The 25,026-nt window shown below is 46.6% G+C and overlaps 1 protein-coding gene across 7 annotated transcripts in view, besides 1 other annotated feature; it reads left to right on the top strand.

Annotated features, from left to right (window-relative positions):
• Nucleotides 19,968–20,489: an enhancer, noted in NCBI's record as "H3K27ac-H3K4me1 hESC enhancer chr5:150974668-150975189 (GRCh37/hg19 assembly coordinates)". NCBI's record gives its function as "activates a minimal SCP1, AML or CMV promoter by ChIP-STARR-seq in primed H9 embryonic stem cells {active_cell/tissue: H9 hESC(primed)}" and the evidence as "EXISTENCE:reporter gene assay evidence [ECO:0000049][PMID:30033119]".
• The window catches only part of FAT2 (FAT atypical cadherin 2), a 90,728-nt gene continuing 86,478 nt past the window's right edge, over nt 20,777–25,026 (top strand). For 4 of the 7 annotated variants that reach the window (XR_007058588.1, NM_001447.3, XM_047416934.1 and 1 more), the window contains exon 1: nt 24,265–24,431. The gene's annotated coding sequence lies outside the window, so the exon portion shown is untranslated. Of the gene's footprint in view, nt 20,857–22,349; nt 22,432–23,004; nt 23,098–23,416; nt 23,573–24,264; nt 24,432–25,026 lie in introns of those variants that run through there. The other 3 variants (XM_011537600.3, XM_017009224.2, XM_017009225.2) reach the window with 3 other exon arrangements.

Below are 25,026 nucleotides of genomic sequence, written 5' to 3'. Positions count from 1 at the left end.
CACAAGTCAGGGCACGACCCAAGGTGGGGATGGGGTGATGTTGCTGGTGGGAGGGGGGAGGTCACTATCAGGTAATCAGGCAAGGGCTCTGGAGAAGGTCAGGGTGTGGCTGTGTGGCTGTGTGGCTGTGCAGGGGCACAAGAAATGTGTACTAGTCAGCCCTGCTGGGAAGCCGGCTCATGAGGCAGAGAGGGGACCCAGCTGGAACCCTGGCACTGTCTGCATTTAGAACTCCCTCACATTGGAGCTACTAGGTCCTGCCCTGCTCTTCCTGCAGTTCCATTGTCGCTGTGGGGTGAGGAGTCTGTGGAGCCAAGGGGAAGGCTTACCCTAAGCCTGTGACCCACCCCCTCACCACTTCCAGATCACATTTTCAGCACCCAAGCTGTCGGTTTCCAGCTCAATAGCCCCCAGCTTACTTTCTAGGCCTCTGCCAGGGGTCTTTCCTCCAAGGGCAGGCTGTACACCTCTAAGGGTAGCCTGAGGGATGGCCAAGTTGTTGTTTGCTGGGAAGGCATTAGGGTGGTGAGGATGGAGCGTGGTCACATGGGGTGAGATGTCTAAGCACCTGCCTATAACCATTTTCCTTGTAGGAAGAGGAGTCAAGAGAAGGCAGGTGGGCTGGAGCCACAGGGCCCTTCATTTGAACTCTTGCTTCGTGCCCTGTAGTATAAGGGATAGACCTGCCTGAAGTCAGTCAGTCCAAGTGCAGAGATGTGGAGGCCTCCCGAAAGGTGTTTGTTTGCCAAGCTGAATTTTTATTGCAATGATGAATGCATGAGACTGCATGCAAGAGAAACTGGATTCTGGCCAAGTTCTGACAAACAGTCCCACTGGATAGGAACGTAGGCTTTGGGGTCAACTACCCGGGTTTCAAAGCTCTGGGACGTTCTAGCTATGTGACCTCAGACACGATCACCTCGGTGAGCCTCACTTTTTTCATGTGACACATGAGATCAATAATTGTCTCTCCCTCATGTTGGATGGAAAAATGCTTAGTACAGTGGTTGGTACCTAGTAAGTGCTTAATTAGAGTGATTCTATGTGACACCAACTGCTGTCTCTGAGTCTCAAGCCCCCTTTAGAAAAGGAGGGGATGATACACTAAATTCAGTGGTTTTTAACATTTCTTCAGACACTCTCCGTCTGGGATTAGGTCTGAAGGAGAAGCATCATGGTGCCCAGAAAGCCCCCTGGGCAGAGCACAGCAGACGAGCTGAGCATTCTCCCAGCATCGGGACTCTGGCTTTGCAGATAGTCTGGACCTGGAAATCCTCATCAAAGGGTTTGGAGAGGAAAACAGTTCTCAGAGTACTGTAATAATGCCTGGGGGTTATAAGGCTCCAGGGTCTTTGCACATGCTGGTCCCTTTGTGGGGAACACCCGTTGTCTCCCACTTCTTAGCAGTGAGCTGCCACTTATGTTTCAGATCTGAAACCTCACTTCCTCAGGAAAGCTCAGAGCTTCTGTTACAGGTTCCTTTTCTCTGTATCCATTCCCATCTACAGCACACATCAAGGTAGGGGAGCATTTGATGACACTCCTCCAAGAGGTCTTTCTTTCAGCTCCATCCAGGTTTAGTGCCCTTCTGAGGTGTTCCCAACAAACCCTGCACTGTGCATTTCACGTGCTTTAAAACTCTGGTCAGCTCCAACTCAACTTCGCTCAGGGTCACACAGCCAATACATGCTGAACACAAAAAGGCTTCTGAGTAGCTGCAATGGGTTCTACCATGTATTTTACTCATAAGGAGCATGTGTTGCCCGGAGATGATATATTCCTTTTTTTTTTTTTTTTCTGGAGACGGAGTCTTGCTTGATGCCTAAGCACAGTACGGTGGTGTGATCTCGGCTCGCTGAAACCTCCGCCTCCCAGGTTCAAGCGATTCGCCTGCCTCAGCCTCCCGAGTAGCTGGGATTACAGATACATTCATTTTGTACCTGATGCAGACATGTAGTTACCTAACAGATTCACTGTTGTAAAGAAGGCAGAGAGAGAAGGGCCCCTGGAATAATTGACAGCTGACAGTGTCAATGAGAGTGATACCTTCAACCAACTCCCATGGTTCCTGAAGCCACCGCCTTTTTCTCCATTGTCTAGCAGCCACCGCGGAGAACCTCATGGAGCAAGGGCAAGAGGAGATGTGAAAGTTCAGGGGAATGGAGGGAGGCTTCCTTGACACAGTAGCATCTGAGCCTGGCCTTGAAGCCTGTCTGGGTGTGATGTAGCCAGGCTGAGACTGTGTGGGTGGATTAGAGAAGAGCAGGTGAAGGCAGGAGAGGCATTTCAGGCAGAGTGAATCATCAGCAAAAGCTCAGGCAAAGAATCATCAGCAAAAGCAGCCAAGATGTCACGCATCCTGGAGGCTCCAGATCAAATAGCTTCCTCCGTTGCATGTTCCCAGAGTGCTCCCTACTCGCCTGTCATGAAGTGCACTGCACCTGTCAACCGGGTCAGGGTGTGCTCAGTACGGGTCTCTCACCGGAAAATAAACTTCTAAGGCAGGAACTTACTTGCCTTAACCACAGTTCTGTCTCTAGGATTGAAAGAATTATTAACTACTCGTCTACCATTTCCGCTATGAAAACAAACCACCCCCCCACCACACACACACATACACCACACCACACACACCCCCACACACCACACACACACATACACCACACCACACCCCCCACCACACACACACACCACACACACCACACACACACCACACACACCACACACACAGCACACACACACCACACACAACACACCACACACACAATCACACAACACACCACACACACCCACCACACCACACACACCACACACACACCACACACACCACACACCACACACACACCACCACACACACCACACATACACCACACACACACCACACACACACACCACACACACCACACACACACTACACACACATCACAGACACACACCACACACACACCACATATGCACCACACACACACACACACACACACACACACACACACACCACATACACACAGACTCTCACAAACCTGTTTTTGTCCTCAGTGCCTAGAATGATGTCTGGCAAGAGGTAAAATTCTCAATTAGCATTGTGAAATGAATGTGTGAATAAGTGACTCTCCTTTATTAGAGGTGAAGCTCTGGGAGGCCAGGGCTCATGTCTTAAGCAATGTTATTTTCCATCTCCTGGCAAAAATGGGGTCAAGTGAGGCCCTGGGACAGAAATGTCCCTGTTATAGGAGCAGATCTCCTGGCTTCCGCTCGGGCAGTAGAGTAGGGCCTCTGCTTCCTCACTCTTCAGCTCTTTACAACCTGCCCCATTCTCCCATCTGGCCTCAACCTTTCTTTCCAAACTTAATTTCCACAACTTCCCCTCAACCGTGGATGTCATAACTCCCATGGATTCCTGAAGCCACCCCTTTGTCTCCATTGTCCAACAGTCACTCTGGAGACCCCTTGGAATAAAGAAATAAGGGCCAGAGGTTCAGTAGGATAGGAGGAAGCTTCACTGAGACAGCGGCATTTGAGCTTGGCCTTGTAAATTGGGTTACAATTTAGCCAGACTGAGACTGCAGGGGTGGCACAGAAAGAACCAAGAAAGAAAGGCATTTCAGGCAGACAGGATCGTCGGCAACAGCTCCAAGGGTAACCAGTGGAAATTCTGAGCACCGTGGCTACTTCCCCTAAGAACACTATGGGATCCAGTGTTACGGAGGTAGCAGAAGGATTGGTGGGGACTGGAAGGGATTCCTGACCTGGCCTCATTTTAGAGAGCGGAAGTCATGGTATCATCAGCAATAACAAAACTGAGATGTGGCCTTTCCTATTAAAGAAACTCACTGTTGACCTTATGCAGGACCTTGCCTTTCCTGGACCTCCTCATCTACAACATAAATGTTCTGAATGAGGCAATCCCGCTAATCTTTCCAGCTCTGAAGTCCCGTGACTAAAACTACTTTCCCCTTAGCTTCTCACTCCAGTTTTGGGTCAGACCCAGGACTTGTGACCAGATATAAGGTCAGTCTTGCTGATTTCAAGACAAAAGAGGGCTCTGTCTGTGCCGCCGGTGCCGGTTTCCCATGCCCAGGGCTTTGCTTATGTGGTTGGTGCATCCGGCTGTCACCGTGTCTATGGTGTCACCTGCTCCTAGTAGCCTTTCATCTTCTGGGCTACTGGAGCATCTCTGGAGCTTGGCCAGGGGGAAGCTGTCACAGCAGGTCAAGGTGTGGAGGTGAGTGAAGGGGGCTGTGGGGACCTGGCAGGGCACTGTGGACACCCTGATGACACTTGGCTCAATGGCACGGCTTCAGCCTTCCTTTCCTATGCCCACATATGTTTCTTGCATCCAGTAGATTTAGGAATGAGTCAGACCTGGCTTGGAATTCCCTCCTTACCATTTACAAGCTGTGGGCATTTGGCCTCATTATTTTACTTTTCTGAATCTCAGCTTCTCTATCAAATTGGAATGATATTAACTATGCATTTGTTTATTAGCTGAATTTGGCCATCCATTCATCCATATATACATTCTTAAAGAAGTGTTTATTGAATACCTACTATGTGCACACACAATGCAAAGGATTCAGTGGTCAAGTTGACATGACCACAGCTCTCATGACACGATGTAATGGGATTGTTGGCTTGCATGTCCAACACCATAGCCACTGACCACCCGTGGCCATTGAGCATTTGAAATCTGGCTAGTATGACTAAGGAACTGAATTTTGAATTTCACTTAATTTTAACTAATCTAAATTTAAATTTAAAAATTTAAAAACTCGGTTCACTTTTAAGTATGCTTGACATAACTTGGGAAGGTGAAACTACTTTTTCAACTATAAATTTCATGAAATCTAAATACAAGTCAAATATCACCGACAAAAATTTAGCATTTGAAGCAAGATATGCTAGAAGTATCTGAAAACATAGTGGATTCTGAAGACATTGCAAGAAAAAAATGAATGAAAAATATCTTACAGAAATGTTTAAATATTGATTACATGTTGAAATGATAACATTGTGAACATATTGGTTAGATAGAAATATATTACCAAAATGAATTTCACCTGTTTCTTTTTGCTTTTTAAATGTGGCTCCTGGAAATGTAAACTCATGTATGCAGCTCACATGCTTTTTCTATTGGACAGTGCTGCGTTAGGCAATTAAACAAGCAATTACAATGTAAACTCATAAAATTATGGTGAGCATTAAATGAGATACTGCCAGTAAAATGCTTAGTTCAGGGCAAGCACTTTGTCAATATTAGCTACAGCTAAGCATCAGACACTGGACTGCACCCCAACTTACTCCTTTCCCTGTCTCAGAGCTGAGCTCTAGTTCCCATTGCTGAGGGTGATTTCTTTCCTAGGAGTCTCCTGGGTCTTTCATGTAAATAGGGTCTTTCTCATCCCATCACACCATCCTTTGGACACTCTGACGTGTGTCTATTACAGTGTGGGCCCAGGTGGGCCCCTCAAAGCCCCACTTGAAACCATCTCTGCCTTCCACCTTCCTCCTCCTCAGCAGTGCACCTTTCTGCCCCACCTCAAAATCTGACCCATTCACCAGGACGTTCTAATTCACTTTTGGATTTCACAGATTGATACTATTCCCCACAATGGGGAGGGGGCAATACAGCATTGCTTTTGCTTCTTTTTTCTTTGCCAAGCAAGATCTTTAAAAAAAAAAAAAAAAATCATTATCATCTTCTATCACTTTATTTTATGAGAAGAAACACTTTCAAAAATGAGACACTTTTTTTTTTGCAGAATTTGACAAACTAATTAAAAATTTACTTGAAAATACAAAGGACTCAGAAAAGCCAAAACAATCTTGAAAGAGCAGGACAAAGTTGGAGAACGTGGACTTCCCGACTTTAAAACTTACTGCAAAGCTACAGTAATCTAGACAGTGTGATACTGACATAAGGATAGGCATATGGGTCACTGGGATACAATTGAGACTTCAGAAATAGACCCTTATATTTATGGTCAATTGATTTTGACAAGGATGCCAAGACAATTCAATGGGGGAAAATAGTCTTCTTAATAAACAGAGCTGGGACAATTCTATATGCAGCTATGAAGGAATGAATTTGGACCCCTATATCACTCCATTCACAAAAATTAGCTAAAAAATAAGTCAGAGACCTAAATTAGTTATAAACTCTTACAAGAAAATATAGGGGTAAATCTTTGCAACCTTGAGCTAGGCAATACTCTTGTTATCTCGCCTAGGCTGGACTGCACTGGTGCAATCTTGGTTCACTGCAACCTCTGCCTCCCGGGTTCAAGGGATTCTCCCACCTCAGCCTCCAGAGTAGCTGAGATAACAGGAGTGTGCTACAACCCCTGGCTAATTTTGTATTTTTGGTAGAGATGGGGTTTCACCATGTTGGCCAGGCTGGTCTCAAACTGCTGACCTTAAGTGATCCGCCCACCTCGGCCTCCCAAAGTGCTGGGATTACAGGCATAAGCCACTGCGCCTGGTCAGTGATTTCTTAACATATGATATCTAAAGCATAAGGAATAAAAGAAATGGACAAATTGGGCATCACCAAAATGAAAAGCTTTTGTATTTCAAATGACACCATCAAGCAAGTGAAAGGAACAACCTGCAGAATGGGAGAAAATATCTGCCAATTGTATATCTGATAAGGGACTTGTATCCAGAATATATAAAGGACTCTTAAAACTCAACAATATACAGACAACATACTTAAGAAAATAGGCAAATGATTTAAACATGTATTTCTGCAAATATTACAAATGACTAATAAATACATGAAAAAATACTCAACATCCTTAGTCATTAGAGAAATACAAAGGGAGACATCACCTCACATCCACAAGAATGGCTATGATAAAAAGGACAGATAATAACAAGTGTTGACAAGCACAGAGAGAAACTGGAACTCTCATACACTGCTGGTGGGAACATAAAATGGTACAGCCACTTGGGAAACAGTTTGGCAGTTCTTCAAAAGTTTAAAGATAGAGTTATGATATGACCCAGCCATTCTACTCCTGCATATCTACCCAAGACAAATAAAAACATAGATCCACAAAAAAAGAAAAACTGACACACAAATGTTATTAACCGTGTTATTCCTAATAGCTAAAAAGTAGCAAAAACCCAAATGTCCATCATCTGATGAATGCATAAACAAAATGGGATATACCCACACCATGACATTTTATTTAGCCATTAAAAAAGGAATGAAGAGGCTGGGCATGGTGCTTCAGGCCTGTAATCCCAGCACTTTGGGAGGCTGAGGTTGGTGGATCACCTGAGGTCAGGAGTTCAAGACCAGCTTGGGCAACATGGTAAAACCTCGTCTCTACTAAAAATACAAAATTATCCAGGCATGGTGGCATGTGCCTGTAGTCCCAGTACTTGGGAGGCTGAGGCAGGAGAATTGCTTGAACCCAGGAGGCAAAGGTTGTAGTGAGCCAAGATTGCGCCATTGTACTCCAGCCTGGGCAACAAGAGCGAAACTTAAAAAAAAAAAAAAAAAAAGGAATGAAGTACTGATACATATGACAACAGAGATGAATCTCAAAAACATTGAGCTCAGTGAAAGAAGCCAGTCACAAAAGAACAGACGTAGTATGATTCCATTTATGTGAAGTGTCCAGAATAGGCAAATCTATAGAGATAGAAAGTAGATTAGTAGTTGCCTAGGGCTGGAAGTGAGGAATGGGGACTGGGGAGTGGCTGATAATGGGTATGAGGTTTCTTTTTGGGGTGGGAAAATGTCCTAAAATTAGATTACAGAGATGGTTGCATGACTCTGTAGGTAAAGTAAAAACCATTGACTAGCATACTTTAAATGGATAGATTTTATGGCATGTAAATTATATCTCAATAAAGCTGTTAAACATAAAAGTGGGCCCTAGGACAGACAGTAGATTGGTTAAGAATGCAGGGCTCTGATGTCCCAAGGTCTTCAATGAGTCCCAGCCCTGCCACTTTTTTTTCTCTTTTTCTTTCCCTAAGAGACAGATTCAAGTTGCCCCAAATATATGCTCCTTTTTGTTTGTTTGTTTTGTTCTTGAGAAAGGGTCTCGCTATGTTGCCCTGTCTGGCCTCAAACTCCTGGGCTCAAGAAATCCTCCTGCCTCAGCCACCATGTCCAGCTTGCCATGTTCAGCTGGGGCTGGAAGATCTTTAGGGATCATCTACTCCAGTCTTTCCCCAACACATTGTAGGACTACGTAGAATCAGTCTTCACATGAAATTAAAATACTAATAATCATATCATAATAATAGCTAATGATTGTTGAGCCTTTACCGTGAGCCAAGTACTATGCTCAGCATCTCGTGTGCATTGCGTCCTTCAATAACTCTCAAGGCACTCAAGATCACAGTGTTAGTAAGCAGCAGGGCCCTCAAGAGACTGTCAGTGTCATATAAAACATCAGTACTCTTAATCAAAGAATGGTTAAAAGTGAAGATTTGGAGCTTGACTGCAAGCGTTTGCACCCTAGTTCTGACTCTAGACAAGTTATTTAACTGCTTAGAGCCTTGGTTTCCTCATTTTTAAAGTGGAGATACAGGCTGGGTGCAGTTCCTCACACCTGTAATCCCAGCACTGTGGGAGGCCGAGGTGGGAGGATCACTTGAGCCCAGGTGTTCAAGACCAGCCTGGGAAACTTAGCAAGATCCCATCTCAGAAAACAAAAAATAAATAAAGTGGAGTCACAAATACTATGTAGAATTATTGCATTAAGCTGTGTTATTGCATGTAATTCACCCAACAACGTGTGAGGGCTCAGTGTTTATTTTCATTATCACTCTATGTATTACCTCCTTGTGAGGAAGCCCAGAGCATGAAACAGATTCAGGTAGGGTCCTTCTGGTTGAAAAGAGTTGGGGCCCCAGTTCTATCTGTCCTGTCTATCTTCTGCTGCCCCTTCCTTCAAGGCACCATCAAAAACAAACAAACAAACGAACAAATGGACACCCTTCTTTGGGACTCTAGGGCTTCTTGAAACATAGTTTGAAATCACTGTTCTTAGCCCATTCTCCTTCATTCATTGAAGAGAGGGAAATATACTGCTTAAGGTCACACAGTCAGTCAGAGGCAGAGACAGGACTAGAACTCTTGCTCCCTGAGTCCTGACTCGGTTGTTTCTGCCACAGTTGGGGTCCCCAGGTCTCCCTGCTGCCTCACAGGAGATTGTGCTGCTGCCAGAACTCCCAGATTCTGCTCCCTCCCTTCTCCCAGTCTCAGGGATAATCCTTTAATGAATTAAGTGGAGCAATTATGGGGGGTTATGGGGAGGCTTTGGTACTTTGTGGTAACCAACTGGTATCTTGCAGAGTCTCATTTACTGTCAGTTGTGTACTTAGGGATAAACCCACTTACTTTCCAAATCTTCACCAGAATTTCCTCCCACCACTCTCCCCTTCAAGTTAGCAGTCCCTACCAGGCAAAGGGGATAAAGTGTGAACATGAACTTTCTCTTTTTGCCTCCTCTCCAGAGCCTCCATTAGTATAGCAGATGGACACAAAACAAGCAAAAACCAAGGCAAAACCCAAAAAGATAAATATTGTCAAGCTATCTACCAGTTTGCAAATCTCTTTGCCCCAGGGTGGAGTAAGAGGTTGGGTCTTGGAGGTAGCACAGAACAAGGCTCTCCTGTCTGGAATGTTTCCTTGCTGATCTTCAAGGCTGGCTCCTTATCCCTCCAGGTCCCCTCCAGGGTCACCTGTTTGGAGTGGCCTTCCCTGACCACCACACTAGACCTGTCTCCAAGCCTCTCTAGCCCTTTCTCTGCATTAATTTCTTTAGAGCATATAGCTCTCTAAAATCATCTGATTGATGTATTTGCTGATGTGTACGTTTTTCATCTTCCTCTTCGCCCCCTCCCCAGCAGAAGCTCTGGTAGTGAGAAGCATGTCTGTCTTGCTCATGACTCAATGGCCAGCACCAGAGCAGTGCTTGGCATCGGGTAGGGGCTAGGTAATATTTGTTGAACAAGTGAGTGATGGAAGGAATGAGAAGGTAAACTGCAAAGAAATGGGAATTGGGAAAGGAATCTAGTTCCAGATCTGTCACTAACTTGCAGTGTGACCTTGGGCAAGTTTCTCACCCTCTCTGGTTAACCTCATTTTCTTTTCTTCAATTACAAGATGAAAGGCTTAGAGTTAGCATCTCTTTCAGCTGTGTGCTCAGATCTCATTAGAGTTAGCATCTCTTTCAGCTGTGTGCTCAGATCGCCTTAGCGTTAGCATCTCTTTCAGCTGTGTGCTCAGTTCTCATTAGAATTAGTTATCTCTTTCAGCTGTGTGCTCAGAGCTCCTTAAGATGATTTTCACATTGAAATATAATTCTCTCTTTTAGATATTTGTCTTACCCATTAAGCTATATGTTCCTTGGGGGTAGAGACTATGTCCTACACCCCAGCCTAGCCTAGCACAGTGCTGGACACACAGGGAAGCTAAGGGTATGTTGGAGGAGTGAGTGAATGGATGAATCAAAGACTCTCTGGAGTTTCTTCCAAGTCTAGTGATTTAGGGTCCTAAGGTTCCTGAAAGCAGGGACATTAAAAGAGGAAGCAGGTGTTCAAGTGTTTGCCTCCTTTGGCATTTACACTTGGACACTAAATCAGAATCTTTCATCTGACTTCCATACCCATTTCCAGAGTTCAGGCTCTTCTTGCCACCCCTGCCTCCCACTCCCAATCTCCAAGGCAGAGAACACTCTGCCACACCACAGGTGACACCATGGAGGCAGCGGTGCACAGGTGGCCTGTGACACAATGTCATTAAAGAGCAAAAGATAGGGCAAATTATTGTATTATCCAAACAGGAAAGTGCATAAAGGTAACATAAAAATAATCCTGTGGAATAAGGGATGGGGGGAATTAGAGCGGAGGTCAGCACATCTTTTCTTTAATGAGCCAGATGTCGAATATTTCAGGCTTGACTCTCTCAGTTGAGACTCCTCTGTGGCCATAGACAATAAATAAATCCATATCCGAATGTGTGCCAATAGAGCCTCATTTATGCACACCGAAATGTAAATTTCATATCATTTTCACGTATCCCAAAATATTATACTTGTTTTGACTTTTTTTCAACCATGGAGAAATGTAAATCCTTTCTTAGCTCACGGTTCTGTACAAAACGGGTGGCTGGCTGGATTTGGCCACAGGGGCACAGTTTGCTGACCTCTGAGGTAGAAGGGAAAGAATAGCGTTGAGGGGGTCCTACCTGGGAGGCTTTCTGGAGGAGGGACAGAGATCAGGGAGGAATTTGGTTAGGGGAGCAGGGAAGGTTTGAGTCAGATGTGAGCTAGTGGGCTCACACACTCACCCACTAACAGGGGCCGGGCAGGTCAAGGGGGTGAGTGAGGCAGGCTGGGTGGGGATCTGAATGCCTGGGTTCCATCTAAAGTCAGCAGCATCTGAGTCCAGCCCTTTGCTGCCAAGATGCCCATTTTATGGATTATCCAACATTTCAAAAGAAGCCCAGATTTTTGTGTGAAAACTCTCAAATTTAAAATGTTGGCAATGAATAATTTTTTTTTCAATTAAAAAAAATAGAGTGAGTCAAATAGGAGGTCGATTATGGTTCATGGACCATTAGTTTGTGACTCTCAGCTTTAGGTGTTTGTGGAGATGGTTCAAATTTAAGTGACAGGAAAGCTTCTCAAACTAGGAAGTATGCCTCCCCAGGGAGGTGAGGATTGAGGAGAAGGGATATGGGGACTGAAATTCACTGGAGAAGCAAGACCTGTAGTCCAGGAGAGTCCATTTTACTTGAACATTTAAGAGGAAATTATTGTTAAAGTGAGCACAACCGTGTTTGAATGAATTTTACAGTTCATTCAAATACGATTGTGCTTGCTTTAACAATAATTTCTTCTTTTTAAAAAACTTTGGTATGATATACAGTAGAGCACACTATTTTTTTTTTTTTTTTTTTGAGATAGGGTCTTGCTCTGTCACCCAGGGTGGAGTGCAGTGGCGCAATCTTGGCTCACTGCAAACCTCCATCCTCCAGGCTCAAGCGATGCTCCCTCCTCGGCCTCTTGAATAGCTGGGACCACAGGCATACACCACCATGCCCAGCTAATTTTTTGTATTTTTAGTAGAGGCAGGGTCTCACTATGTTGCCCAGGCTCATCTCAAACTCCTGAGCTCAAGTGATCTGCCCACCTCGACCTCCCAAATTGCTGGGATTACAGGCGTGACACTGCACCCGGCCAAGCTCCCTAATCTTAATAGCACAGTTGAATGAATTTTGACATACATTTCCATTCATGTCCCCTTCCAATTGATATACATCTCTACCTTTCAAGGTAACCACTATTCTTTCTGCTGTCACCTGAATCAGTTTTATCTGTTCTTGAACTTCACATTCATGGAATTATACAGCATATGCTATTTTGAGTCTGGCATCCTTTTCTCAAGATTTTATCTGAGATTCCTCCATATCATCATGTATAGCAGTAGCTTGCTGTTTTCCATGGTTCTGTAGTATTGCTCAATTTACCTACTCTACTGTTAAAGGACATTTGGGTTGTGTCCAGTTGTTGGATTTTATGAATAGCAATGCTATGAACATTCCTATGCATGTCTTTTTGTGGACATAGGCACTTTTCCCTTGGCTATCTCCTCAAGAGTGGACTTGCTGGCTGTATGGCTTATGTGCATGTCAAAGGAAATGCTGTGACTGCTGTCTGTGGTTTTAGGCTCCATTCCCAGCCCCCAGAAAACCAAGCCCACTCTCTTTTGCAATTAAGTGCCCTTAGTGGGAAGTTTGGGGCACACTGATGTAAGGACAAGGGTAAGGAATGAAGATCCAGAAGACAGAGATCAACATATGCTACTGTTGTTAGTACTGTTTTGTAGATAAACACACTGAGGTTCAGAGAAGGAAGCTGATTTGTCCAAATCAAGTAACTATTGAGAAGAGACCCTGGATTTAATCCAGATTCATCCAACTCCAGAGTCATGTTATTAGCTACTCTACACTAAAGCCTCAGGGTGTGGGCACCTGTATTTCACCTGTCTGGCATCCATTCTGCTCCTTCTGCTAACAGTCGCCAGTCATCCTTTGGGGAGGCACCAGCTGCCACCTGATGCAGTCTCAGTGGGCTGTCACTTCAGGTACCTTCTAAGTTGGATCAGGACCAGCACTATGGTGGGGCAAGTATGGTGCCCAAAGCACCTATGGAGCAAAATATAAAAGGGCACTCATTTTCAGGGTCAGCAAATGCCTGGTCAGCCTCACTCTCCTCACAGCCCTGCAAGGGACCCAGGCTTAGCCAGCCTAACCCCTCTTTCACAAATATGGATCTTGAGAGGACCAACTCCAGTGCATCTTTCTGGTGGTGATGGGTGATCGCCTGAGCAGACTGCACATGTATTGTTCCTGGTTCTTTCCTAACTGTGAGCCCTGTGCTATCTCTTATTCTCCATGTCACCCATGGCTCTTCATTAAATCTCCCTTTTGCTTAAGTTGGGTGGGGTCGGTTTTGGTGGCTTTTAGAGAACCTAACAGAGTATGTGCTTTGGAGCATGTTGTCATGTTTCTAAGCACTCTTCCCTTGGGTATATCCTCAAGAGTGGACTTGTTGGCTGTATGGCTTATGGCTTTACATATGTATGGAGTGGGCTTGGGCTCCTGGGGGCTGGGAGCATTGTTTCCATCTGGGAAATGGGGATTCTATGCTTGGGACTTTAGCTGGAAAACACAGCAAGCTCCCAGGCAGGGATCCTCAGCTCCACAATGGCATCAACTGGGGAGTTTTAACAATCTGATGCCCAGGCTTGTATCTTATCCCAATTAATTCAGAATCTCTGGGGGTGGGCCCAGGTATCAGTAATTTCTAAAGCTCCACAGATGATTCCAATGAGCACCAAGGGATGAGAACAACTGCTCTGAACTACCAGGGGATTTCTGTGGGTAATTAGCAGCTCGACTTCACCGACACAGCCCACACCTTCGTGCCTGGGACTTCAGCATAGGCATTAAGTGGCCTCCATCTGGGCAGCAGCCAGATGAGAGGAGGAACAAGAACCACTTATCTCCATTAGGCCTCCCTTATCCCCAGGTTCTGCGAGGATCCCCACAGAAGCCTGGTGAAAGCTGGAGGGCTTAGCTCAAAATCCTCAGGCAATTTGAGTGGCTTGTGTCTGGGAGCTGCTGAGGAGTCTGAAATCTTAGGGCCAAGGGCTATGGAGAGGTCATTGAAGTTATTTTCTTGCCCCTGGGCAAGAGGCACTGACAGGGGCCTTGCAATAGTGAGATGGAGAGCTGGGTTCAAATCTCAACCTTGCCAGATGCCAACCAGTAAATGTGGGCAAGCAACATCAGCTGCAAAACAAACAGATGTTTATGGAACAATCACTGTGTGCAAAGCACCAAGCCAGATAGCCTCAATCTGGGCACATCAAAGTACTCTGATTTAGAGGACTGAGGTAGAACCCCAGAATTTGCCTTTGTCAGTAGGCATCTGTCTTAGTCTGTTCCTGCTCCTATGACAAAATACCTGAGACTGGGTAATTTATAAAGAACAGAAATTATTTCTCACAGTTCTGGAGACTGGGAAGTCTAAGATGAAGGTGCCAGGCAAGTTCAGGGTCTGGCAAGGTCTCTGCTTCTGAGATGACAGCTTGTTGTTGCATCCTCCGGAGAGGATGAATGCTGTGTCCTCACATAGCAGAAAAGATGGAAGGGCAAAAGGGCCTAGCTATTTCCCTACAGCCCTTTCACAAGGGCACTAATCCCATTCATGAGGGTGGAATCTTCTTGGCCTAATCAACTCCTAAAGGCCCCATCTCTTAGTACAGTTGCATGGAGGATTAAGTTTCAACAAGAATTTCAGAGAGGACACAAACATTTAAATGATAGCAGCATCCAAGTGATTCCGATATAGATGGGCTCTAGATCTGAACCCTGAAGCTGGTTTATCAAAGTGATTCTAAAGAAGGAAGCCAGCGTTGAGCATCACAGCAGAAGGTGTGGTATCAGGGAGGAACGGCGTGATTTAAATGGCAAGATAAAGTGAGTAAGCCAGATGCTGACTTCAAGCAGCCCCAAAATATTAGGCCCTCAGCTTTCTCAACTGTTATTTGGTGGAGTAGGACCTACTGTTGTGTAATATAAATTCCAGCTCCTACATCCTATTCCTCTAAAAGTCACACTTCATATTACCAGCTCTGAATTCCTTGCATTGTCCTGTTGATGTGTATCTAGGACTGAGATGTTGTTTTAAATGTGTTTATAACCACTGTCCTCTGACAATGGCATACAGCTTTGTGCAGAACTCCCTACCATCTGCTATTTCAGGCAATTCTCATAATTTCCTGGGGTGGCAGGCTGGACTGGTTATCTCTTTTTCAGCACAAAATCCATATTATCACATGGCCAGTAAGAGTCAGTAAGCAGAAGGGCCAAATTCAGACTTGGATATCTGGCCCAAAACTGGATAAACCTGGACCAAGATTATCTGTCTCTTTGCTTGCCCATCAATTTGTTCATCATCCATCCATCCATCCATCCATCCATCCATCCATCCATCCATCCATCCGTCCATCCATCCGTCCATCCATCCTTGTGCCCACGAATCCGCACATCTGCTTATATCTGTCATCTATTTAATACATTCATCTATTTCTGTGTATTCATTTATTATGACTTGGTCTCTATAAAAATCTGCCTATTCAATTTGGCAAACGTTTACCCAGAGCCTGCCATGTGCCATGCACTCTCTCTACTTGTACCTCCTGGCCCCACGCTCCATCTAGCTCATCTTTCCTGACTACTCCAGCCCCCACTGAATGCTTTCTCCTCTGGCCTTTTTGCAGGACCCTTAGTCTATGTGACTATGGTCTCTGCTCTCTCCTGGGCCACGTTCTTCTTTGATTGATTGTGAGTGGACCCTTTGTCCTTCCTTGACTGCCATGATCTGGCTCCATTCCTGCCCTATGTCAGACTCCAGGGAAATATTCACTGGGTGGATGACTGGACCCCCAACTAGACTGTTCGCAACTCAAGGACAAGGACAGTATCTTTTCAAGAGTTTCATTCCTTCTTCAGTTCCCAGTCTAGGGCTACACACAATGGCAAGCATTTTGCTCACAATAGAGGGCTTAAATTCACAGTCCTTAGGAGTTGGAAGGAACTTTACAACTTTTATTCTTTCAACAAATCTTGCATACATATGTTTGCTAGATGCTCTTGCTAGGCATAGAGATTAGTGAAAACAACATTTTACAGAGGAGGGTGGGAAACCCAGAAAAGGACAGCCTGATGACAGCGAGGAGAATACCACCTCTCTGCACCCAGATAGTTCCTAAGTCCTCACAGAGCCAGATGGTGTGTGCCTGAAGATCCCCAGAGAGGAGGTATTGGGAAATCACAGCTGCCTCACCAAGTCAAACCAGTCAGGCCCCATCAAGAGCCACAGGAAGCCAGTTTCCGGGTGGCAGAGAGAGCCTGAGTCAGCTCTCACCTGCATGGATCACATCAGGGTGAGCAGGGGCTGTCAAGGGATGGAAGGAGTGGCCCTGAGAGTGCTAAAAGAAGGTAAGTGGAGGTGCCCCAGCTGGATCTTGGGGAATCACACCCTTGACAGGGGATATCTGAGCCATGAAGTCCATGTCCAAGTGCCGAGGATACTCCAATCAGGCCAGGCTTTCCCTCACTCTTGGGAAATAGCTTGCTGATTTTGCCCTCCGTATGTTAAAAGCAGAGACTCCAAAGATGTCAGTTTATCAAGCACAGCAGTTCTTAAACTTGAATGAGCCCCAGAATAACCTGGGAAGCTCAAAGCATGGGTAGATCTCTGTGTACTCCATGATAGAGACCTTAAGACACACTGTTGAGTAAAATAAAAAGTTGCAAAATGACACATAAGATGTTATTCAGCAACCCCCTTGCCACAACCAACCCATTTCTGTATATTTCCCCCTGGTATACTTATATATGAATGTAAATATTTAGAAAGATTACATACCAAAATGATTATATTGGCTGTCTTTAGAAAGGGTATTGGTAGTGATGGCAGAGAGGGCTTTAGCCTTAAATGTAATGTTTCATTATTTTTATTAGGAAAAGTTATCATGTATTATTTGTGTAAATAAATTTTTTTAAAGTTCAGATTTCTTCAAAAATTTTCACCTATTTTGTCTGGTTGGAGGTCCAAGAATCTGCATCATAGAAAAGTTTCTGGGTGCTTCTTTGGAGTGCTTCTGTGGAGATGACCACTTTAAGAAAAGCTGGTCTAGTCCAACCTCTTATCATAAAAAAGAGCAATTTGAGGGTCAGAGAAGCTAAGGAATTTGCCCAAGACCACATAGCGTAGTAGTGAATAAGATGGAGTTTGATCCTAGGATATTTTACTCCAAGATGGTGTGTTCTCTTGCATACAATGACAAGAAAGGAAGCTCACTAGGAGAGGTGGGTGATGGATGTCCACAACCAGAGTGTGAGGGGTCTAGGGCTCCGTGCACTGCTGAGTTAGTCCAGTTAGCAGTTTCTGGCTGGGGGAACAGGGATAATGATGGGGCAAGAAGGGGGAAGAAGGGGAAGGCAAACACTGCTCATCTTCTCAACTTTTCTTTGAGCTGCTCTGTTCCCAGACCTCCTCCCGAGGCTCCTTCCTGTTTCCAGCAGGGGCAGTGGCTCAGAGAGAACCACACAGCCTCTACCCTGACAGCCTTGTTGCTGGGTGACCTGGGGCAATCTCCTTCCCTCTCTTAACCTCAGCTTCCTCATCCATACAGTGGATTGAATCAGTCTCCCAAACCTGGTTCGGCCTCCTCTTGGAGGCTCAATTAAAAATACAACATATTTCAAAATAACTTGTTGTACACCATAAATATATACTTTTTGTCAATTAAAAAAGTAATAAAACTCAGAATCCTGGGCCCCTTCATAATGCGCGTGGGGCCTGGAATGTGCATTTTTCAACAACTCCATGTCTCCCACCTCCATGGATGATTCCTACAAACTCTGAAGTTAGAGAACCACGGGGCTACTGAGTCTCTTTTCCCTGAGCAATCCTCCCTGCACTGTGGGCCTTGGGTGGGACTGAGGCCTGGCCTGTGAGGAGAGTTTGGAGTGGCCCAGTAATCCCCACTCCCCAGAAGACCCCTGCCTCTCTTCTTGCTATCTCTGTCTAGGTTGGGGCTCCGCAGGGTCTCTCCCCTCAGGGCCAGCCTCTTCCTAGCCTGGGCAGAATGTCTGGAATGTGGCTGCCCAGGGAGACAGGGCCAGTACAGCTGTCAGAGCTGCCTCAGGAATTCAGGCAGCAGAGAGCAGGCTCCCGCCCATGAGGGCCCCTGCTCTACTGGCCTTGAGGTGACCTGTGGAAGCCAAGCCCCTGAGTGGGCAAGGGAGGGCTGTAGGGCTCTGAACAGGCTGGCAAGTCTTGCTAGGCCTCAGTTTCTTCACATAAAATCATGTCCTACTCCTCTACACAGGTGGTATTTTGGCACCTCCAAAGCAATTTTGCATCTATAAATCCTCTGCCCCATCACATTTCATCAGCATGTGCAAACAGCTATGGGAAATCTACAGATAAATTAGACACCAAATGGATCCAGGAAGCTTCCACTTGGCCCTAGGCACAGTGCTTAGTGTATTACCACCAATTCATCACCTTATGTAATCCTCATGATAACCTATGCAAGACAAGAACTGTTATCATCTCTATTTGGCAGATGAGGAAACTCCTCAGAGAGTTTTAATTACTTATCCAAGGCCACACAGCTGCAGAGCTGGGTTTGAATCCAGATCTGCCCAACTTCAAGTTCAAACTTTACCCTGTGCTCCACTTCCCTGACAAGCGCAGCAAGGGAATGAGGACTACGCAGGAATATCTTGTCCTGATTTCACTGTGAGGCCTGAACAGAGCAATCTGTGCTCCACGATGGCAGGAAACCTCTAGTAGTTCATAGAGATGGTCCTGAGCAGACGGTCTTATGATGAACCTGGTAGGTGTGAGTGGAATGACAGTCTAGGCAGAGAGACAGCATAGGCATTAGAGGGTGATAGGCTGTAGCTGGCGACCCACAGGCTAGCTGATTTGCAGAACTAGCTACATAATTTGCAGGGCTCAATGCAGAATGAAAATGTGGGGAACCTTATTCAAAAGTGATTGGCATTTGCAAGACAGAGACAGCAGAGTAGAATCAAGTGTGGGTCTCTCTACAAGTGCAAGTGGCATGTCCATGAGTCCAAATCCTGTGATTTGGTTGGACTATAGCCTAACAGTGGTAGCTAAGAACATATATCTTGAAGCCAGATAGACTTAGTTCAAATCCTAGCTCTACCATTTAAAGGTACGATAACCTTAGACAAGTCACTTAAATCTCTCGGACTCTGAGTTCCATCCTCTGCAAAATGAGAATGATAATAATAGTATTATTATTTTCAATGGCAAAAACCTCAATTACTTTTGCACCAACTTAAGGCCTCATAGGGAAGATCAATTTCAGGATTAAATGAAATGATGCTCAGCCTAGTACATAATAAATTAGAACAAATATTGTCATTATTACTGCAAATATTGTTGTTGTTATTATTACTATGCAATGGGGAAAAATGGGAGATGATGCTGGAAATACAGTTTGTGGTTATGAAGAAAGGGACAAGGAAGGGGTACTGGTTCCCTGGGCCATGGCCACATCAGAGCTGCAAATCTCAGGGCAGGTAAGGGTGGGGATAACATCAGAGGTTCTATTTCAAGTCTTCAGAGTGGCGTCCCACTGGGGAGACCTAACCAAGGCCATTGAACCAGCCAGCCCAGCTCCAGTGCACTCACCCTGGAGCCCCACCCACCAGCAGCAGCCTGGGCCAGGCCGACTGAGGACTGGGCTGGCAGCAGATGAGCTCATGCCCACAGACCTGGCCAACAAGGCCGGACGCTTCTACTGGTAGGAGCCTGTCAGAACTGCCGGCTGGGGGTCAGGATGAGCTGGAGAGCCCGGTGGTGCCCAGATGCCTATGGCCAGCAGGTCTGCTGAGTGTTTGATTACATTCCCGGGCACCCCAGGCAATGCCAGGGCTGGCCGTTCCCACTCCTGCTGAGTTCCGTCTGTCAGCCACAGAGCTGCCATCCCAAGCCTGGCCCCCACGGCCCACCTACCTTCCACCTTCTGCTCCTCCTTTTCGGCAGCAGCCCTGGCTGCAGAGCCAGGTGGCCTCATCCCCCGATGACTTCATCCTCCTTAAAGGCATCATGTCCCTTTGATAGTCGGGCCTCTAGAGGCTTTTCTGCCCACAGACCAGGCTTCAGGGTCTCTGCTTTGTTCCTGTCTCCCGGTTCCATTCTCATCCTGCTCTGTGACCTTCCCCAAGGAGAATGCAGTGTAAAGGGGCCTCAACCTGGAAGAACAGTTTGCACTTCATAGTCACTGAACGTGTCACAATGTAACCAGTCCATCAGCCAACTGTCCCCAGTGGGCTGAATCCTCTCTTGAGACTGGTCTTCTAAGGTGGACGACACTCACTTGGCACCTACCCTGTGTATGCGACGCATGCAGTGCAGTCATGCAGCAGTTCCCTCAACTAGGGTGACCAGCCATTCTGGTTTTCTTGGGACTGTCACAGTTATTGAAAGTTCTGCATCCTGGGAAACCCCTCAAGTCCCAGGCCAACTGGGACAGTTGGTCAGCCAACCCTGTACAAGCATCCATGACATGCCTCCTCTGATGATTTGTGTTTGGTTTTCACTGAACAAATCTGAGCCTTTAGCCTGCCCCAGAAGGAGTCAAGGGGGTTCAATCTCAAAAATTAAAATAATGCTGTCTATGCTTCCAGACTTTATGGGCACCCTGAAATCTGCTGCCTGGTCAGAGGGTCCTCTGCTCCGTCCCCTCATTTACATCGTTGCTCATTAGGTGAGTGTGGCTGTATTGCTCTAGAAAGAAAAGTCCAGGAGGGAGGGAGAAAGAGCTCACCCAGTTCATAGGGAAGAAGACAGCTTTCCCCAGGCAAATAGGGGAAATGGACATGACTCTTCTAGTTCTTTCTTTAGAAGCCTACGGCGGCACCCCTGTAAAAACTTTAGAACTCTAGAATGTTAGAGGTGGATGTTAAAGATCAGAGTTCAACACCTCCGTTATTGAAAGAGGGACGCTGAGGTCCAGGAAAGGGCTTCAGAATCAGTTATGAATACTGATGCCTGGGTCCTACCCACAGGAAGTCTGATGTAATTGGTTTGGGTCTGGGGCCTGGGCTTCCCAGGTGATGCCAATGTGCAGCCTTGATTGAGAACCACTGAGTTAGATATAGACCCATCCCTGAGGAACTTCCAATAGAGTAGGGAGGGAGCTAAAGTGAAGAGAGGCACACGCCAGGCCAGGGTCACACAGGGGTTGTGAGGAGAGGGGAGACCCAGGCAGTGCACAAAATGCTGGGTTAAGGGCTTCAGACAGACCGGGGCTTGGATCTTAGCTGAGTCTAGACCAGTGACCTTGGCCAAGTAATTAAAGCTTTTCTGAGCTTCAGTTTCTTCATCTGAAACACAGAGAATGATAATAGCACCTAATCCATTGTGGTGGTATTCAGAGAAATTAGATAATTCATGCAGAGTGCTGACATAAAGATGAGCTGTTATTATTTTATTATTATTATTTGAGATGGAGTCTTGCTCTGTCACCAGGCTAGAGTGCAGTGGCGTGATCTTGGCTCACTGTAACCTCCACCTCCCGGGTTCAAGCGATTCTCCTGCCTCAGCCTCCTGAGTAGCTGGGATTACAGGCACACGGCACCACACCCAGCTAATTTTCTATGCTTTTAGTAGAGACAGGATTTCACCATGTTGGCCAGGATGGTCTCGACCTCCTGACCTCGTGATCCACCCGCCTCGGCCTCTCAAAGTGCTGGGATTACAGGTGTGAGCCACTGCGCCCAGCCTATTATTATTATTATTACTTCTTGGTCAGGTCAAAGGCTTGGTCAGGATGTGCTCACAAAGGGGAGTGGAATATGAGCTATACCAACACAGAGAGGTACAATTTCAGCAGGAAGAGAGAGAATTTTAGATATCAGGGAATGAGAAGTTTCTGAGCATGCTTGGAGGGCACTAGGAGTCAATTTCCCTGGTGCATGGGAGACTGGAGGCTTGAAGACCCACCAGAAAGGTCCTGGGGCCAGCAGGGAGAAGGACCAGGAGTGGGTCAGGAGAGTGGTAAGGGAGCCGGGGAGAAGGGGATGGATGCCAGCAGCCTTAAGAGGCTCTGAAATCCATCCTGATACCCATCTCCCCCTCCTGCAATAGGCTGCAGACAGTCCCTGCGCTGGACAGGCTGGAGCCCAGCCTTGGCCCCCGAGGGAAGACAGTCGCCTGCTACTCTGCACGTGACTAATCAAAGGGCCCGTGGGGCTGCCCCGCCACCCTTCCTCTGGTTAATGCCTAATCGGACCAAACTTGGAGGCTTGAGTGGCAATCAGCCAAGTGGATAATTGCTCAGGTTAGCCTTGATCACAGGCTCCCTGGGAGTCGATCACAGTAGGTCCCCTCACCCTGCAACTCCCTGGGCCTCTCATCCGGGGCGGAGGCAGCTTGTAGGAGGGAAGCCTCAGAGAATCCTACTGGTGGGGAATCCCTCTGGACATCTTGAGCAACACACCATAGCAGCCTGCTTGATGCCTGTGGTCATCCTGGATGCTGGTGACAGGTCCCTGAAGGCACAACTCACAGTGGCTGCAGCAGCTGCATAAACATCTCACTGAGAGCCAGGAAACAGCAAAAAGCCTCATTGCTCCTGTATAAGCAACAAGACCAGAACCTTCATGGTTTCACTAATTCATAGGGTCCAGGCTAAACTTCTAGACACCTAAGTCCTAGCCATAGAACCAGGCCTCAGTTTTGTCACACGGCAGGGGAAACGGATCTGTTCTGAGTGGTCCCAGCACAGTTGTGACCCCATTTAACAAATGCGGAGACAGAGACTTAACAAATTTAAGTCATTTGCCTTGGGATACATAGCTAATAATAATAAAAGCATTAACAACGGTATGAATAATTCTTATTTATTAACCAGGTGGAAGAGTTGCTGCTCAGCTGAACATCAGCTAGAATTGCTAAGAGCTCAAACTGATTGCTGGGAGAGGTGATAAGCTTCTTGTAATTAGAGGTATGCAAGCAAAGACTCACTTATTTGCCAGGAATGTTGCAGAGGGGCTTCAAGACCTGGGGGGAGGGAGGGGATTGGACAGAATGGTTGCAGAGTTGCTTTCAGTTTTGTGGGGCAGGAGCGATTTCATTTACCTCTGTGTCCCCAGGGCCTAGTACGGTGTCTGGGAAAAGGTAGACATGGGCCTCACCTGTGCATGAACATACAAAACGAGCAAACAAATGTGTTCTATAACTAAAAACGTGGCAGCAGGGGAGAGGAGTGCTAATCCTTGTCTAACTCTTCTCCCTTTCCCTTAAAACACTGGTTCTCAACACAGGGTGCGTAATGGAATTATATGGGGAGCCAGAACAGAGAGGCACCTCATAAAACGCATCAAAGCCAAGGCGTCCTGCACCCCAGTGAGCCATCACTCACCGTGCTTTGTGATGCACACATAATCGGTCTCATGAATCTGTACAACCTTATGAAGCAGGTATTCTTGTTACCTCCATTTAATAGATGGGGGAGCCCAAACTTAGAGAGGGTAAGTCAGGTGTGGGGAAGTCACAGCTGAAAACAATAAGAATAAGAATTACCTTTTATGGGGGACTTTCTCAGCTAAGTCCTGACTGGTTTCTTAGCAACCTTTATCTCATTTAATTCTCATAACAACCTTATGAGGTAGGAGCTATTATTATCCCCATCTTTTCAAAAAAGGAAACTGAGGCTCAGACTAAGTAACTCACCCAAGCTTACTGAACTAGTAGGTGGCAGTGCCAGGGTTTCGAACCAAATCTGTCCGTCTCCAAAGCCCTGGGGAAAGGGGTGCTGTGGTTGTCAGTCTCAGATCTGAAGCATGGAGGAGTGGAGAGAACACTACTGTTCTGACAGCCAAGTGACCTTTTCTAGTTCCCTTGTGGTCTCTGTGTGACTGTGTGACCTGGGGCAACACTACCTGTCCAGGGCCTCAGTTTATCCCTCGGTGAAACCAAGAAGGGAGGTGGAGATGGGCCTGATTTCTCAGCTCCTTTCATTTTCCATGACTTGATTCCCCACCGTGAGTTCTGGGCCACAAACCAGTTGGCTTCCTCCCTCCCTCTCCGTGAGACAGAGAGCTGGCAGGAGGGGATGATCCGCCTCAATTCTCCCACCTCCTTTTTCCTCCTCCTCCTCCTCCTGGGCTGGGACACACCTACTCCAACTTTCTCAGCAGCCTCTCCGGCTGCGGGCTGCGCGCCTTCCTGCTCCGAGTCTCTGCACCTCCCTCAGGAGCCTGTCAGCCTGGCCCTCGTGAGAGGGGCGCCAGCCCAGCAGCCTGCTCTGGGGCACCCTCCCCTACCTGAAGGGCACAGGTAAGAATTGCTGGAGGATGGGAAGATGCGGGAGGGGGGCAGCAAAGTTAATCCATTCTTGAGTCTGGTTCCAAAGCAGGCTGGAGTTGGGGGCTCCTGGAAGGTAGAGAAGGAAGCAGGAGATGGCTGGAACAGGCACAGAGAGGGAAGACAGGGACATCTGGGCCTGGATCATCTAGGTACACTGAAAGAAGCCAGTGAGGTAGCCAGTCCGCGGCTGGGGATCGGGGCCCAGCAATGGGCAAGGCTGAGACTGTGATCTTGTGGAAGAGGAAGGTCACATTTGCACACGTGGAAAGTTGGATTCTTGTCCTGCAAGAATCAAATCCCCCACTTGGGCTTTCTGGAGATGAGCCTTTAAGAGGACATGGAGGAGATTTCCTCTGCAGTTTTTAGGGGGAAGTGCCAGGGCCAGGAATTGAGAGTTGCTGGCTTCTTGTGTGTGTCCAGGTGGGCATAGGAACCTTATCACAGACAAAGCTACCTGGCGGCTAAGGGAGAGTCAGATAGTCTGGTCAGCCCTGGTTCTCCTGTAGCTGCTGAGATTAGGACCTCAGCTTCCCTGACTGTAGAATGGGGGCATGCATAGTCTCTG

This window comes from Homo sapiens, chromosome 5 (genome assembly GCF_000001405.40).
Source record: "Homo sapiens chromosome 5, GRCh38.p14 Primary Assembly".
In the NCBI taxonomy this organism is placed as follows: domain Eukaryota; kingdom Metazoa; phylum Chordata; class Mammalia; order Primates; family Hominidae; genus Homo; species Homo sapiens.
Note: the sequence above shows the minus strand (reverse complement) of the source record. Positions and strands in the feature narration are given on the sequence as shown.